Source organism: Homo sapiens, chromosome 12, assembly GCF_000001405.40.
Source record: "Homo sapiens chromosome 12, GRCh38.p14 Primary Assembly".
NCBI lineage: Eukaryota > Metazoa > Chordata > Mammalia > Primates > Hominidae > Homo > Homo sapiens.
The window spans coordinates 95,474,927-95,493,526 of NC_000012.12; the positions used below are offsets into that span (position 1 = coordinate 95,474,927).

General features: G+C 38.1%; 1 protein-coding gene across 5 annotated transcripts in view; it reads left to right on the plus strand.

Moving 5' to 3' along the window:
• METAP2 (methionyl aminopeptidase 2) overlaps positions 1–18,600 on the plus strand; it is a 41,688-nt gene that overhangs the window by 775 nt on the left and 22,313 nt on the right. For 2 of the 5 annotated variants that reach the window (NR_133673.2, NM_006838.4), the window contains exons 2-4: positions 1,145–1,252; positions 8,289–8,354; positions 10,953–11,055. Coding sequence is in view for 4 of the 5 variants with exons in the window: in NM_006838.4 (NP_006829.1) it covers positions 1,145–1,252; positions 8,289–8,354; positions 10,953–11,055 (277 nt within the window). In the remaining variant the exon portion in view is untranslated. The remainder of the gene's footprint in view (positions 1–1,144; positions 1,253–8,288; positions 8,355–10,952; positions 11,056–18,600) is intronic. The other 3 variants (NM_001317182.2, NM_001330246.2, NM_001317183.2) reach the window with 3 other exon arrangements.

Genomic DNA, 18,600 nt, shown 5'->3' on the forward strand with positions numbered 1-18,600 from the left:
TGCCTAATCCCATAGCATCGCCAAGCTTTAGGGCCTTTAGACCTGAATTATGATACCAATTGCAGGCAGTGCAGATAGGATATTCTGTGGCTCAGAATGGAACTTCTGAGGTCTTAACCTCTAAATCCACTGGTAAGGCAAGGAGAACTGCTGAGAGTTTACAGTTGGATATTATGAACTAGGAACTTACATATTTTGAGAAGTCTGTGTTTTTGCTGCACAAGCTCCTTCACCTTAATAAAAATTATTTTTACTTGTTTCTAATTAAAATCGCCAGAGAAACAGAAAATGGAGAAGTCAGAAGCGATTAAGATGGAATTGAGAGAGGTCGAAGAGAGCTAATCTTCATCTTTCTGAAATTTTGATTAGATAGGAATGGAAGGAGAGTTGTAGCGTTGCTGGAACTCTTCCAGAGCAAAATTTGTTACTCTGGTGGCTGTTCCTGGATTTCGAGTGAAATTCAAACACTGCTGTTTGTCTTGTAAGGTGTTAAGCTGACTGATCCTAATGTATTTTTAACAGTTGTATTTCTTAATATGAATTCTCTCCAGTAGCCAGAATGTCACTTCATTTCGTGCTACCTGATACTATTAATGCATGTAACATATTGCTCTTATAGGTAGGTTATAATCACTTCCAGAGCAGGGGCCTGGTCTTGTGCTTAGATATTTGAGCGTTTTAGTTTTTTAGTAATGGACTGTCTTTGCCTATTTATTTTGACTTTACCCAGCCCATCGTGATATCCTTATTCATGAAACCAGGCTGCCCCGGGGTGTTGCACATGAATCTTTTTCCTAAGGCCTTCAGCATTTATTACCTATCTGGTGTTTAAGTATTTGTTAAGTCTAATTGCTGACCACTATTACAAGTTAAACTACTTGAGGATAGAGACCAGTTCACGCTGTTTATCTTTTAGCTGCTAGTGTGTGTAATGGATATTTTGTTGAGTAAATTAATGAATGGACAATACTGTGTAGGTATGGAAGATTTTTCTGTCATTAAACGAATTCTGTTATGTTCACAATAATGTTTCTGTTTTTGTTTCCTGAGGAAAGGATTTGTAAGTTTTCCAAGATCATTAGAGCATATTCTAGTGGGAAAGTGTCTGTATTAGATTTGATTTCTGCTATTTTATTTTGATCAGCAGGGGAACAGGAACCTGATAAAGAATCAGGAGCCTCAGTGGATGAAGTAGCAAGACAGTTGGAAAGATCAGCATTGGAAGATAAAGAAAGAGATGAAGATGATGAAGGTAAATGGTTAATTTGATCTTTGTGGTTAGAAAAGCTAGAAAATGTAGCCGGGTGTGGTGGCACACACCTGTAATCCCAGCACTTTGGGAGGTCGAGGCGGGTGGATTACATAAGGTCAGTAGTTCGAGACCAGCCTGGCCAACATGTTGAAACCCCATCTCTTCTAAAAAGACAAAAAAAAATTTAGCCGGGTGTGGTAGCACACACCTGTAATCCCAACAACTTGGGAAGCTGAGGCAGGAGAATTGCTTGAGCCCGAGAGATGGAGGTTGCAGTGAGCTGAGATTGCACCACTGCACTCCAGCCTGGCCAGCAGAGTAAGACTGTCTCAAAAAAAAGAAAGAAAGAAAGAAAGAAAGAAAAGCTAGAAAATGTGATATTCCTTAATCAAAATTTATTTACTCGTATAGTGTTTTCTCTGACATTTCACTTGTTACCTCAATTAATGTCACAGATTAAAAAGGAAAAGGTATTTATTAGCAAGTCTTGAAAAAGTTCAATGTGTTAATTAGCTGTTCAGATAGGACAGATCTCAGAGTTTAAAAATATACTTGGTAGAAGGCAAAGTAGTGAGTATTAATAAGATTGAGGGGTTGTTTATTTAACTAATACTTACTGAAGAACTACTATGTACTAGATACTTTCCTAGGTTATTTTCACATACATTCACATTTTAACCTCACAAAACCAAGCAAAGTAACCTACTTGTGCTTAGATATCCATTTTGTTTTTTGGTAATGGACTGTCTTTTCCTATTTATTTTGACTTTACCCAGCCCTTCATGGCTTTACCCAGCCATCTCATTTTACAGATAGGGAAGTGGTAGTTACATGATTTACCCAAAGTGACATAGCTAATATGTGTAGAATAGAGCCAGAATTTCAAACCTAGTGCCTGACTGCACGTTTGTTCCTTTTACTCTCTATTTTTTTTTTTCTTTTTGAGACCGAGTCTCGCTCTGTCGCACAGGCTGGAGTGCAGTGGCGTGATCTCGGATCACTGCGACCTCCCGAGCTCAAGCAATTCTCCTGCCTCAGCCTCCCGAGTAGCTGGGATTACAGGCGCCTGCCACCATGCCCAACTAATTTTTTTGTATCTTTAGTAGAAATGGGGTTTTGCCAGGTTGGTCTTGAACTCCTGACCTCAAGTAATCTGCCCACCTCAGCCTCCCAAGGTGCTGGGATTACAGGTTTGAGCTACTGTGTCCGGCCTGTTCCTTTTACTCTCTATACCAAAATTAACTCTTTTCATTCTGAAAGAATCGTATAGGAGTGCACTAAGTTTTATTATAAATTCCTTGACCCTAGCTCCTTCTGGGTGTTTGGGTACAATAAGATTTTTTTAAAGACAGCAACTGCTAATTGATGTTATCAGTAAAACAGTGAAGGAAGAGACAGGTAAGAAAACTTAACTTTTTTCCAGCCTCTTTTGGCGGAGGAAAAATGGGGCTTTCCCATTCTTTTTATTTGTAGCTGCCTACTACTGAGAACATCTGCTCCCCCTCAAGCACCACCAGCCTGGGGTTAGGTCTTTAACCATTAGTTGGGGCTGTAATTATTGTGTTAGGGTAATGTAGAGTAGTTGTTTTCCTTTAGAGTGGTATGTTCTCTGCCTTCAAGAAGCTTATAGTGAACATTTGGTGGAAAAAAGTGCCAAGATTCAAGGGAATTACTAGCTTTTCCTCTTCCTTAAACCTCTGTTCTACATTGGCTTATGCTTTAGATTATGAACTTATTTTGAGCTCTTCACAAGAAAATGTTTTGTAAATTCAAGGCAATATAATAGATTGCTATAGACCCACTGTGTATATGGTATCATAATGCTTCCTGGGCCTGTCAGGCTAGTTAAAAAATATTGGCTGGGTGTGGTGGCTTATGCCTGTAATCCAGACAAGCCTGGGCAACATAGTGAGACCCTATGTCTATACCCGTCCACCTCCCCCCACCCCCCAAAAAAAATCACAGTGCTAATCTTGAAGTGTTATCTTGTTCTGTTACATCTCTACAAAGTTGCCCATCAGGTTGGAAATCTTCAATGTATTAAAGAAGATTTTAGGAATATTTGTAGTTATTTCAGTAATCAGAGTCAGTCAATACTACTTACCTGTTGTTAGGTCTTTGAGGGAATGGAAAGCTAGTGTTTCAAGATCTTTCTCCTAATGGAAAACTAGACCAGGTGTGTTAGCTCTCGCCTGTAATCCCAGCATTTTGGGAGGCTGAGGTGGGTGGATCACCTGAGGTCAGGAGTTCAAAACCAGCCTTACCAACATGGTGAAACCCCATCTCTACTAAAAATACAAAAAATTAGCCAGGTGTGGTGGTGGGTGCCTGTAATCCCAGCTACTCGGGAGGCTGAGGCAGGAAAATTGCTTGAACCCAGGAGGTGGAGGTTGCTGTCAGTGGAGGTTGCGCCATTGCACTTTAGCCTGGGCAACAAAAGTGAAACTCTGTCTCAAAAAATAAGAAAAAATAAAGAAAACTAAGGATGTGGTAGACAGACAAAACCTAGAAGTGAAAAGGTATTTGGGTACCTGTAATAAAATTTATTGAAATTTGGTGGTATAAGTGTGGGCTGAATGCCGAAGGAAGGCTCATTGGAAGGAATAGAACTTGAGTAAAACCAAACAAAGGAACTATTTTGGGTTGGGGTAATGCTGAGAAAACATTTGAAGCATTGTGGTAATACAAGCTTGCCATATGAGGTGATAGATTGAGGGAGCCTTAGAGGATTTTTAAGAAATGTTATGAGCCAAGCACAGTGGCTGGTGCCTGTAATCCCAGCTACTTGGGAGGCTGGGATGGGAGGATCTTTGAGTCCAGGGGGCTTCAGTATGCTACGAAAACACCTGTGACTGGCCACTGCACTCCAACCTGGGTAACATAGTAAGACCCTGTCTCTTAACAAAAAAGGAATGTTATGAAATAATAATTTAGGCTTTACCTGTATACAGGGTTGTTTAGAGGAGAGGAAGTGTGTAGGAAAGGCAAGGAGGAGATCATTTTGGAGGCCTCTTAGAAATAGCCCAGGCATATGGTAATGAAGATGTAAACTGATAGTCATAAATAGGCATGGAGAGGAAGGATCCAGTGAACAGTAGTGTGGAAGCAGAATTCAAAAGACTTGGAGACTTGCATTCTGGGAGCAGGAGTAAGGCATTAGTGGACTCTGGGAGTTTGCACTTGGGTGACAGAATGTTGGTGCTGTTGACTGAAATAGTGAAGTTGGGAAAGAGCCAGTTAGACATTGGGGGAGAGGTTTGCAGGCAAAGAAGAGGGTACTAAGTTTAATTTTAGATGTGCTGAATTGGAAACTGTGGTATTGGTATAAAAAGTTGATCCTGTGGTCATCTGACAGTGTGCTGGAGGTAATTCATTCAATACATTTTGAGTCAGGCTCATTAACATATAATTTCCCTAAAATAATAGTCACCACTCTTTTTTTTTTTTTTTGAGACGGAGTCTCACTCTTGTCCAGGCTGCAGTGCAGTGGCACGATCTCAGCTCACTGCAACCTCTGCCTTCCGGGTTCCAGCGATTCTCCTGCCTCAGCCTCCTGAGTGGCTGGGATTACAGGTGCCCGCCACCACTCCCAGCTAATTTTTGTATTTTTAGTAGAGACAGGGTTTCACCATGTTGGCCAGGCTGGTCTCGAACTCCTGGCCTCAAGTGATCCGCCCGCCTCAGCCTCCCAAAGTGCTGGGATTACAGGCGTGAGCCACCATACCTGGCCCCAATAGTCATCCTTTTTAAGTGTATAGTTTGGTGAGTTTTGACAAAGTATGCAATTGTGTAACTACTACCACGACGGAAGATACAGACTATTTCCATTTAACATTTCCATCTCCAGAAAAAAGTTGTGTCTCTTGTAGTTGGTTCTCTTGCACTATACCTAACCCTTAGCAATCACTGATACGTTTTCTGACCCTAGTTTTGGCCTTTCCTGGAGTATCCTATAAATGGAATTATTCGGTATGTAGTTTTTTGTGTTTGGCTTGTTTTACTTAGCATAATACTTTTGACAGTCATCGAGTTGTGCATTTATCAATAGCACATTCCTTTTTATTGCAAGTAGTATTCCTAATATGTTTTACCCTTTTACATTGAACAATATTTGGGGTGTTTACAGTTTTGGTCTGTTGTGAACGAAGTTACTATGAACATTTGCATATGGGTCTATGTGTAGATATGTTTTCATTTCTCTTGAGTAAATAGGACTGGGTTGCCTGTCATATGGTAAGTATGTGTTTAAACTCCTAAGAAGCTGTCTGGTTTCCAAAGTGGCTATGCTGTTTTGCATTCCTCTTAGCAATGGTTGAGAGTTTCAGGTTGTTCGTATCCTTGTAAGGACTTGGTATTTGTTTTAAAATTTTAGTCTTTGATAATGGGTATGTAGTGCTTTGTCATTGTGGTTTTAATATGCACTTCCCTAATGATATTGAGCATCTTTTCATGTTTTTATTTGCTTTTTCCTTTATCTTTGGTAAAGTGTTTGTTCACATTTTTTGTCCATGTTTTATTGGGTTATTTGTCATCCTATTGAATTGTAATAGTTCATTGTATATTCTGGTTGCAAGTTCTTTATCAGATAATATGTTTTACAGATATTTCTATGGGATGGCTATTCACCTGGTTAATGGTATTGCTTATAGGACAGTTTTAATTTTGATAAAGTCCAATCTATCTGTTTTTTAAATTTATGGGTAGTGCTTTTTGTGTCCTGTCTAAAAAGTTAAGTCATTGCTGTCTCTAAGGTCACAAAGATGTTCTGTGTTCTCTTCAAGAAGTTTTATATATTTTTAGCTGTTATGTTTAGGTCTATGGTTCATTTAGAATTAATGTTTCTAGATAGTGCAAGGCAGAGCTTAAAAGCTTGAGACTCTTTTTTTTAAAATATGATTTCCAGTTGTCATTCAACAGATATCAACTGATTTGGGCATAGTAGTAACACAAATAAACATAAGCAGCCTCTGCTGGCCAGGCCTGGTGGCTCATGCCTATAATCCCAGCACTTTGGGAGGCTGAGATGCGATTCGAGACCAGTCTGGGCAACTTAGACCTTGTCTCTGCAAAAGATTAAAAAACATTAGCCAGGTATAGTGGTGCGTGCCTGTAGTCTCAGCTATTCAGGAAGCTGAGGTGGGAGGATTTCCTGAGTCTGGGAGATTGAGGCTGCAGTGAGCTGTGATCCTGCCACTGCACTCCAGCTTGGGCAACAGAGTGAGACCCTGTCACAGAAAAACCAAAAAAACCAACCATCTCTGCCTATGAAGAATATGCTGGGATACTGTGAAGAAAAGACATGTAAAAGCACAAATTTCAACATGGTATAATGGTTGGAACTATAAACATATATAGATTAATACTCAGATCCTGGCTCTGCTGCCATCCTGGCACAAAGTTCTATAAATGGTGGCTGTTTTTCTGTACTGAATACAGACATTGGACATTGAATAAGGTAATTAGCCTCAAAAGGATGAAAGTATCAAAGAAGGACCTTTTTGTTCCATTTTAAAGATGAAGAAACCAGGGTAGAGGGAGGCTAAATAACTTGCCCAAGGTCACCCAGATGGAAAGATTTTTAGTATATGTTTAAAATTGGTGATGTATCTTCAAGTATTTGTTTTAGGTTGTGCTACATACACTAGGTATAGTGCTACATACACTAGTCACAACCTAAAACAAATACTTCAAGATTCATAACCAGTTTTAGTCTGGAAAAAACTATTGTTTCTCCAGAACAGAAACTATCTTATTTTTCTGTCCCTATTGCCTGGCACTTAAGAGCCCAACAAACATTTAATGGGGTGAAGAAGGTTACTGTTAACGTTACAGTGCACGATATGTGAATTAGATTATAATTTTTCGTGTGCCTTTTGTTAGGCTTTTGAATCTAAAAATCCATAATGAATAAGTCAGCAATATTTGTGTTTTGGGTTTGTTGTTGTTAGGATACAAGATCTCCCTCCCGTCACCCAGGCTGACGTGCTGTGGCTCGATCTCAGCTCACTGCAGCCTTGACTTCCCTGGCTCAGGTGATCCTCCCACATCTCAGCTTTCCAAGTAACTGGGACTATGGGCGCATACCACCACACCTGGATAATTTTTTGTACTTTTAGTAGAGACAGGGTTTCACCATGTCCTCCAGACTGGTCTCAAACTCCTGGGCTCAAGTGATCCACCTGCCTCAGCCTCCCAAAGTGCTAGGATTACAGGTGTGAACCACTTTACCTAGCCTAATATTTGTACTTCTACTGTTCTCTTCTGCCTGCTAGGTTTTTGATAATTTCATAAGATTGAACATAAGAAATGGTGATTTTGAGGCTGGGTACAGTGGCTCACGCCTATAATCCCAGGACTTGGGAGGCCAAGGCTGGCAAATCACTTGATGTCAGGAGTTCGAGACCAGCCTGGTCAACATGGCGAAACTCCATCTCTACTAAAAAAAAAAAAAAAAAAAATTAGATGGGCATGGTGGCATGCACCTGTAATCCCAGATACTTGGGAGGTGGAGGCTGAGACATGAGAATCACTCAAACCTGGGAGGCGGAGGTTGCAGTGAGCTGAGATTGCGCCATTGCACTCCAGCCTGGGCAACAGAGCTAGACCCTGTTTCAAAAAAAGAAAGAAAAGAAGTGGCAATTTTGACCAAAAATGGTCAAGTATTGGCATTTTCATATGGTTCAACCCACGTAAGTCCTAGATCACGTTACCTCCCACTTTGCTAAACTGCTGCTTCCTGTTTCTAAATTTTTTAGTGTTGGAGTCTCACTATGTTGCCCAAGCTGGATTCCAACTCCTTGGCTCAAGTGATCCTCCCACCTCAGCTTCCCTAGTAGCTGGGACTATAGGCATGTGCCACCACACCTGGTAGCTGCTTCCTATTTCTTATTTCAGTGAAAGAATAAATGTAAACAAGATAAAATAAACTAACGTTTGTTCATTTATTGAATAGAGCAAATACTTGTCTCCTTGTACTTGCTTTGTCCCTCTGCTTATGAGGTTTAAATGAACATGTACTTGAAATGTCTTTTCTTAGATGGAGATGGCGATGGAGATGGAGCAACTGGAAAGAAGAAGAAAAAGAAGAAGAAGAAGAGAGGACGTTAGTGTCTTAAGTTAATGTTAATTGATATATTAGAAGTGTTTATTCTGTCGGGTGTGGTGGCTCACACCTGTGATCCCAGCTACTCCGGAGGCTGAGGCAGGAGAATTGCTGGAACCCAAGAGACGGAGATTGCAGTAAGCTGAGATTGTGCCACTGCACTGCAGCCTGGGCAACAGAGTGAGACTCTGTCTCAAAAAAAAAAAAAAAAAAAAAAAGAAGTGGTTATTCACTGACAGGTTTGAAGAGTAGGTTTGAAGTTGCTTAAGGTCCTGATATATGTTAGGGAAATAAACTTAGGCTTAATAGAAGCAGAATTTAGTGAAACTAATAATTATTTATTAGTTTAATAACTTTGGTTTAACAATCCTTTATTTTCTTTAGCTGTTAGCTAAGGGATGTCGATATGAATTGGTTGCATTTTACTGCAAGTTAGGGATGAGTTTCTAAAAATTTTATGATTTAAAACTTGCATAATTTAAAGAATAATTCTGTCAAGAATGGCCGAAGTGGTGCCATGGTGGTGGTAGGGTAAGCGTTGTTTGTAATTTACCTTCCAGCTTTTAAATTATGAGATTCTTGATGAGTATTTAATGAGGAATCCCGTTATTTAAGATGTGTGCATATGGTGAGACTTTATTATTAATAATAACTTTTATATTGTACGATCAGATTTGTATAAAATATCCTGCTTGTTTTGAGTTTCTGTAAGTGCCACAACCAAACATCATCAGGTGCCCGAAAATATATTAAGGAGGCTGAAGGGAGATTTCGTAGTGTTGAGGAAGAAAGGTTGGGTTGAGAATCACAACATGTAAGTTTTAATCTTGGATGCCATTTGGGCTGTTGTAGACCACTGAATGTCTGGTTATGCCTTCCTTTAAAATTTTTCAGGCTAAAATTTTATGAATCAGAATTTTGGGGGCTTGGTAGTGATTCCCCTGGTCTCCAGGTGGAGGTGGAATAGCCTTCTTTGCATTTAGGCGTCCATCATTACTAGATCCTTCCACTCTAAGAAGAGGATGTCAGCTATTCTCGTAGCCTGTGAGGGCCCATGAGTCTGTATTTGATGAGCACAGGATACTTGCATTCCAGGAATCTTCCAGGGGCTATATTGTCCTATTCTTTCCATTAAAAAAAAATTATTAAAAGTTTGGCTATAAGAAATAGTGTTACCTGAGAATGAATTAAGAGATACCTATTTCTTAAATTAAAAAAAAAAAAAAGATAACTATTTCTTCAAATACTCTAAATTGCTCCCTTCTGAAGGCAGACCAGCAGGGAGGAGTGTTGTTAGAGGACTGTTTTATATTTGCCCTTGACAGAATTCTTCTGACAGATGTTTTAAGTATGATGCCATTAACATTTGTTCTGCTTCCTCTGAGGATGTTGTTGAATGTACTGTTCATTATATTTCTTTATGAGGTACTCTTTTTTTTTTCTGCTTAGTATCAAGGATAATTGTGTTTTTTTCTGAGTATCAGTCTGTTTCATCTCAGAACCATTGTGACCTGTGCAAATAATTTTTTTTTAATGTTGGCTACTAAAGGGCTTAGAGCCAAATGTGTGGTTTTTGTGTTGGCCTCATTTCAGGTACTATTCTATGTTCTTGTTTTGGTTTTTACTAATTTACTTTGAATGTCTCTTTATTTGTTTATTTTTTATATCCTGGTAGACTTCTTGAATCATTTCTGTAACAAGCCAAATAATATAATCATGGGCAGTTCACTGCCCTCATTTTCCTCATCTATACAGTGGGAAAATTATAAATGTTAGTTAATGATAACCATAGTACAGATTATTACAGATAATTCATAGTTTTATATAATGACTTGGATGTAATACATTATAATTTTCGAAGGTTATCCAGGATTTCATCTGATCGTTCATTTTGTAGATGAGGAAACTGAGGATTGGTACTATTTAGCCATTTGTTCAAGTCATAGCTAATAAGTGGTAAAGGCTAGACTTCAACTTTGATATTCTGATTACAAATTGTGTATTTTTTCTCTAATGATCTTTTTAAGTCCCTTGTCATGTAATTTATGCACAATATAAAAGGCATCTTTATCAGATTTGTAGATGAGATAAAGTTGGAGTGATAAATACTTTGACAAAAGTTACGATTTCAGAAAACCATGATTGATTATGTATGCTTTTAACTTTTATACCTTATATACTCTTGAAATAATAGTTTTTCTTATTTTATTAATATATATTAGGTTTATATTTTTATTTTATTGCTATAGGACTTCTTACTACTTTGGTTTGTATTTGTGAAAGCCAACCTCTCTATGCTGTTCCATCTCTAGTATAGTGAGTGAAGATGAAGACATTAGAAGTGTGCCTTTTGCCAAGGCATATACTGTTTAAATACATAATGGAGTTCTGAGGAGTTAAAAATTTCTTTTTCCCAAGCAGCAATAAATCATTGAGGAGGTGGCCAGCATGATGAAGTGTCTTCTGCTTTTAACTGTGGCAGCAAGGAGTTTCCTTAAAATCAGAACATATAACAACCATTAGGAACTGAGAAAACTCTAATAACTGCTTAATTTTATTTTTAACTACAGAAGTTAATGCTTTATTTGTATCTCACAGCAAAAGTTCAAACAGACCCTCCCTCAGTTCCAATATGTGACCTGTATCCTAATGGTGTATTTCCCAAAGGACAAGAATGCGAATACCCACCCACACAAGATGGGTAAGGATCATCAAATCACTTCCAGTTTAATTTCTGACAGTTATAGCTTAGCAATAAAGCAGATTTGACATTTCTCAGAACTTTGCTCCACTACTTTAATAAATGCTTATAAATTTGTCATAAAGAAGATACAGTAGAAGCCCTCTTATCCAAAATGATTGGGACCAATAGCAGGTTATTGGTCATTTAAAAAGTATATTAAACTGAGGATCACAAAATAAAAATTCTTGTAGATAAAGGTTAACTTAAACAAATTTGTTTTTCACCTCTCTTGAAATTTGGGTATGGTTTAGTACTTTTCCCCCCTCATATGTATTCATAATGCGTTATCTACAATTCCATTTGGGATTTCTGAGTGATATAAGGGTTGATGTCTACTATATCTTTACTTTTTTTTTCCTGAAACCTTTTGATAGTTCTTACCTACACTTAATTTGACAGAAGTATTTTTTGATCACTTATCCTTAGTGAGATTTATCAGGGTAGTTAGTTTTCATGGAAACAGTTTTTTTAATGTTACTTTTTTTTTTTTTGAGACAGAGTTTCACTCTTGTTGCCTAGGCTGGAGTGCAATGCTGGGATCTCGGCTCACTGCAACCTCTGCCTCCCGGGTTCAAGTGATTCTCCTGCTCCAGCCTCCCGAGTAGCTGAGATTACACGCATGCACCACCATGCCTGGCTAATTTTGTATTTTTAATAGAGACGGGGTTCCTCCATGTGGATCAGGCTGGTCTTGAACTCCCAACCTCAGGTGATCCGCCCACCTTGGCCTCCCAAAGTGCTGGGATTACAGGCATGAGCCACTGCGCCCAGCCAATATACCATTATTAAATCACATAATTACCATAACAAGTACAGATGACTTAAATAGTCTTGGAAACAAATTCACCTGATTCTTCAAGGTGTTCTGTAAGGATACATTTAAAATGGTTAGCAGAAGTGGCATTATGAAGACATATTGAGAGCATGGAAGCTGGGGCCAAACTATCTGCATTTGAATCCCAGTTCTGACATTTATTAGCTTTGTGACTTGGGCAAGTAATTATCACATCTGTGCTTTTATTTCCTCATCCATAAAATGGGCACTCTGCAGGGTCATTGTGAGGAATGATATATGCATAGCACTTAGAAGAGTAGATGCATAGTGAACATAAAGCAAGCTAGTTCCTGTTATTCAAAGTAATAACCTGTCACCCACAATATTTATAATACCATGGACATTGATCAGTGTGTTTTACAAAGGGACTTAAGAGTATTGCTTAATCCAGTGGTTGCAGTCGTTGGTTAAGAAAGCTTCTACTGTAGCTCTTGTTTTCTTGGCCTGTAAAGACACCATTTTTTTTTTTAAAACATAGAAAAAAAGAAAGAACATACTGTTGTTACATTACCACCTGCTCCCTCATTTCCAGTTACGAATGTTCTTAGGGAATAAGTGTAAAGTTCTGGAATTGTATGACATGGGCTTCTTTTCTTTGAATTTGAAATCGTCAATTGTCCCTATCTTAAAAGCACTTATTTTTAAAATGCCACAGATACAGATAATTTTACATTAATAAATTCTTATAGTACATATGATGTGATCACATTTATTTTTAAATATAATCTCTTAATTTTTTTTTTTTTTTGCTTGTTCCCTCTTCTTTTCCTTCCTTCCAGACCCATGTTAACCACCTAGCAGGTAGCCTTCCATATTTTTTCTATGCTCATATATGTATACATCTGTCTGTTTATGTAAGGGAATGTTTGATCATTGTTTGTTTTACAAAAATGGAATCATAGGCACACTTTCCTCCACCTTTTCTCATTCAGTGCTAACTCTTGGAAGTTCCTCCAAGTCAATTAGAATAGTTCTATTATTATCTTGAATGGCTTCATAATATTCCGTGGTGTGAGTGTACCACACTTTATTCCACCATTCTTTAGCTGATGGCCATTTGCTTTGTCTGCAATAATTTTTGCCACTATAAACCATTCTGCAATAAACCTCCTTAGGTAAATAGGTAGCTGGATATGTAGGTATTTTTCTCTCTTTCTCATGTACTGGTAGTTATATTCTGAAATACGTTTTTAGGAGTGAGATTGATTAACCAAAGAATATATTAATAATTTCCAGTTCTTATACTATTAGTGATTTCGAGCATCTTTTGATCGTAGGCTTTATGATATCTTTTGCTCTTCCCAGAAGTTTTAAATTTTTAAATGCATTATGTGTCCATGTTTAATACTTCTGAGTTCCGGCCAGGCATGGTGGCTCATGCCTGTAATCCTAGCACTTTGGGAGGCTGAGGCAGGTGGATTACCTAAGGTCAGGAGTTCAAGACCAGCCTGGCCAACATGGTAAAACCCCGTCTCTACTAAAAATAAAAAAATAAAAAAAATTAGCCGGGTGCAGTGGTGCGTGCCTGTAATCCCAGCTACTCGGGGGGCTGAGGCAGGAGAATCGCTTGAACACAGGAGATGGAGGTTGCAGTGAGCTGAGATTGCACCACTGCACTACACCCTGGGTGACAGAGCGAGACTTTGTCTCACCAAAAAAAAAAAAAAAAAAAAAAAAAAAATACTTCTGAGTTCCCAGTAGTCTCTCAGATTTTCTTGAACACGTATTTTGTGTGTTATTACATCTTTAATCTGGAATTTTTTGTGTAAGGTTGGGAGCACTAATTATTTTATTTTTCTTTCCAGTGCAGAGTCAGTTTATTGTCTATTAAATAATCCCTCCTACTGAATTGAATGACCACCTTTGTCACATGCTGTATTCCCATGTATATAATGGAATCAGTTTCTGGATTATTTACTCTGCTCCACTGATCTGTTTCTTCTTAGGCTAATACTATTTTGATTTGATATCCCAAACAGTTCTTTTTAATACTTTTCTTAGCTACTCTCAGTCATATAGCCTTACACACACACACACACACAAATGTCCTTGTTAGAATTCTCATCAGAATTGCATTTATATTTATGTATTAGTTTCTGAAAATTGACAGTTTATCACCTTGTCTTATCCAATGTCATGGGATGTTTTTGATATTTTTTCACTTATTCAATTTTATTTTTTCCAGGTAGGTTCTAGCCCTTTTTAATTAAATTTGTTAGTGTTTTATGGTTTTTGTTAGTGATGTGAATTAAATATTTCAATCCCGTTTCTGTTTCTTTATACTTGCTGCTAGAGTGGAGGAAAGCCATTGATTTCTTATACTTGTTAACAGATTGTTAATACTTTTAACAATGTGAATGTTATGGAACACTTGAAGTGGTATTTAATACATGAAAAAAATGAGATTTTGTAAACTTCAAAAACTTCCTTTTCCTTACTCTAAGCTTCTATTGAAATTAAATAAGTAGAATAACTTCTGTTTTTGAAATAATAGAGGAAGATATTAATTACATGTTATAATACTTCTCAAAGTAATTTTCTTAAATATTGCATTATTGTATGTTATCCTGGAGAAATACAGAATAAGTATAAGATAGTGTGGTGTGTTTGCTTTTTAATAAATCTCAATACTTTTTACATTCATATAACCAGTTTTGACTATTTGCAAATAGATCAGATTCAGTATTCTTACAGATTTGGTATAGTTTGTATCTTTCCTTCATTGTTTTATTAATAAACTTTTATTAGAAATTGAATGAATTATCACAACTCACCTTTGAAACTACTCTAGGTTAAGTGTATTTTTAAAAACTTCTTATTTTGTACAAAATTAGTCGGGCATGGTGGCGCATGCCTGTAATCCCAGCTACTTGGGAGGCTGAAGCAGGAGAATCTCTTGAACCTGGGAGGCGGAGGTTGCGGTGAGCTGAGATGACACCATTGCACTCCAGCCTGGGCAACAAGAGTGAAACTCTGTCTCAGAAAAAAACCCAAAAAACTTCTTATTTTGAAATGATTTTGTACTTCCAGAAAAGCTACAAGCATAGTACAAAGAATTCCCACATACCTTTCACCTAGATTTCCTTTGTTTTGCCACATTTGTTTTATTCTTTATCTCAATGAAATACAACAAGTATGCATATTGTCATATACAAATAACATTCCATTTTCTCCTTGGAAGACAGATATAAGGCAAATGTGAAAAATGTTAAATTGGTGAGTCTGTATATATATAGTTTTTTTTCTTTTTTTTTTTGTTTTGAGACAAGGTCTCACTCTGTCAGCCAGGCTGGAATACAGCGGTGTGATCATAGCCCACTGTAGCCTGGAACTTCTGGGCTTAAGCAATCCTCCTGCATTGGCCTCCCAAAGTGTTGGGATTACAGGCGTGTGCCACCACACCCGGCATAGTAGTTTTTTTTTTTTTTTTTCTGAGCCATTTGAGATCAGACTGCATTTTCGGCTGGAATACTAGATAATGTATATACAGTATCCTTTTCAGGGTGTTATATCTAGAGGCATACATTGTCAATTTGCTCCTTATTGGTGATATTTAATTTTTATCGTTCGTTTAAAGTATTAGCCAGTTTCTCAAGTGTATTGTTACTAGTTTTTTCCTCTTGTAATTATTAAGTTGTGGGTAGTTGTTTTGAGTGTATCCAGATGACTGTTGTGAACACTCTTCTCACACATAGCTTGAAGCCTGTATTTTTTTTTTTTTTTTTTTTTGAGATGGGGTGTTGCTGTATTGTCCAGGCTGGTTTACAATTTCTGGGCTCAAATTATCCTCCCATCTTATCCTCCCAAGTAGCTTTGAAACTAATTTTTAGTAGTTATAGTAATGTTTGTTTACTTTCTAAAACCAGGATCCACTTGAGGTTCTCATTGCATATGGTTAGAGGCCTCACCTTTTTCTCTTTCTCTTCAGTGCCCCATCTCTTTGAAGAAACCAGGCAGTTGTAGAGGTCTCATGTTCTGGGATTTCTCCGATTGTTTCCTTGTTGGGGGTTAAACTTTTTTCTCTATTTCTGTGTTTTCCGTAAACTGGAATTAGGTGTTAATGGGCTTAGATTAGATTTAGGTTAAACATTTTTGACAGAGGTATAAAATAAGTGATTATGACCTTCACATTGTACCATATTCTGCTACATTAGATGTAATCTCAGGCTATCCTACTGTTAGTTTTATTGTGTTTGACCTCTTGATTAATGTGACAGCCAACTCTTTTTTTTTTTTTTTTCTTTTAAAGGTACTTTTTGCTTTTTGCAGTTTCCAAGTAATCTGTGGGGCTACTTTGGTATCATTTGGAATATCTATCTTCCTTCCTTTTCTTCCTATTTAGTTTATACAAACTTGAGAAGAAAGGAATATCCTTTTCTTAACAACTTTTCACTTAATTCTTTTAATATCCATTGATGATCCTTGCTTTTATGGGTTATTTCATTGGGAACTGCAAAATGGTGGATTTTTGATTCTTTCATTCCTTCTACATTTATTAGGTGATACTATTCTGTAAGAAGAATTTTCTCTGTCAACTGGGAATCAACTATAGTTCCTTCTTATAGGCAGAGTTAAAATATGCTTTATTTCTTACCCTTTAAGTACCAGTTTTTAGAGGAAGGATTTTATGTGATACATGCATACATTTTAATTGTTATTATTATGTTTTTGAGACAGGGCCTCATTCTGTCGCCCAGGCTGGAGTGCAGTGGTGCAGTCTTGGCTCACTGCAACCTCTGCCTCCCAGGCTCAAGCAGTTCTCGTGCCTGAGCCTCCCGAGTAGCTGGGACTACAGGTGTGCACTGTCTTGCCTGGGTAACTTTTTGTATTTTTAGTAGAAACAGGGTCTTTCTATGTTGCCCAGGCTGGTCTCGAACTCCTGAACTCATGCAGTCTGTCCCCCTTGCCCTCCCAAAGTGCTAGGATTACAGGTGTGAGCGACCATGCCTGGTCATTACTATTTTTTGAGATAGGGTCTCATTCTGTCACCCAGGCTGGAGTGCAGTGGTGAGATCTAGCTAAGTTCAGCCTTGACCTCTGGGGCTCAAGTGATCCTCCTACCCCTTCTCCCAAGTAGCTGGGACTACAGGCATGTACCACCTTGCCTGGCTAAAGTTGTTTTTTCTTTTTGTAGAGATGGAGTCTTGTTATGTTGCCCAGGCTGACCTTGAACTTCTGGGCTCAAACAGTCCTCCTGCCTCAGCCTACCAAATGGCTGGGATTATAGGCATGAGCCACTGCACCTGGCCTATCGTGTGTATGTATATGTGTGTTTGTGTGTGTGTGTGTGTGTGTGTATGTATATGTGTGTGTATATATTTTGGTGGAGACAGGGTCCCACTGTGTCACCCTGGATTGTCTTGAACTGTTGTCCTCAAGCAGTCCTCCCACTTTGGCCTCCCAAACTGTTGGGATTATAGGAGTAAGCCACTGTACCTGGCTTTAATTGCTATACTTTTGTTTAATTGACTGAACTAAATAAGATAAAATATAGGAAAATAATACTCTTAGTAAAGGTGTGTTGAGGCAGATTTTAAAAAAATTTTTAGTCCACTTATAAGGAGTTTTGGGGGAGTCTGGAATTATAGACCCTGACGCTGGGTTTTTCTTATTGTTAATAACTTTCTATCTGAACTCGAGACTTTGAGCAAAAGAATTTCTTTAATTCTGTTTCTTTTTTCTTTATTATTTATTTTTATTTTTTATTTTTTATTTTATGTTTTTAGAGACAGGGTCTTGGTCTGTTGCCCAGGCTGGGGTATAGTGGTGCAATCATAGCTCACTGTGTCCTTGAACTTCTGGGCTCAAGTGATCCTCTTGCCTCAGACTCCTGAGTAGCTGGGATTACAGGGATAAGCCCAACGCCCAGCTAATTTTTTTTGGTAGAGACAGAGTCAGAGACAGAGTCAGGTTGGTCTTGAACTACTAGCCTCAAGTGATCCTCCCACCTTGGCCAGGGTCTGTAGTTTAGGGCAGAGTTGAGTGAACTTTTTCTTCAAAGGGCATATAGTGAATATTTTAGGCCTTGAGTGTTACTTAGCTTTGCCATTGTAGCATGAAAATAGCTATAGACAGTACATAAATGAGTGGGCACATGTTGCAATAAAATTTTATTTATAAAACAGGGGAGGCAAATAGCAATTCCTTGAAGGTATCACTTTTACACTTGTGTAATTTATACTCAGTGGTCACTAAGTTGCAAACTGTATATTCAGTATTTAAGAATGTGTGAAAATTGTTTAGATTTTTTTTTTTAAATATCATTTTAAGGCAGTTAATGTTTTTCCTACTACAGGAGTCATGGATCTTATTCCCAGATACTGAATAAAAAATTCTGTCAGTTGGGGTGGCTCACGCCTGTAATCCCAGCCACTCAGGAGGCTGAGACAGGGGGATCACTTCGGGGCAGGAGTTCAAGATCAGCCTGGACAACATAGCAAGACCCCATTTCTTTAAAGAAAAAGTTTTTAAAAATTAGCTGGGTGTGCTGGTATGCACCTGTATACTCCCAGCTGCTTGGGAAGCTGAGGCAGGAAGAACCTAGGAGTTTGAGGATGTAGTGAGCTATGATCACATCACTGCATCTGCCTGGGTAACAGAGTAAGACCCTGTCTCTTAAAAAAGAAATTCGTTAGCACTGGCAGTTTTAAAATGTGAGCCATGTCTTT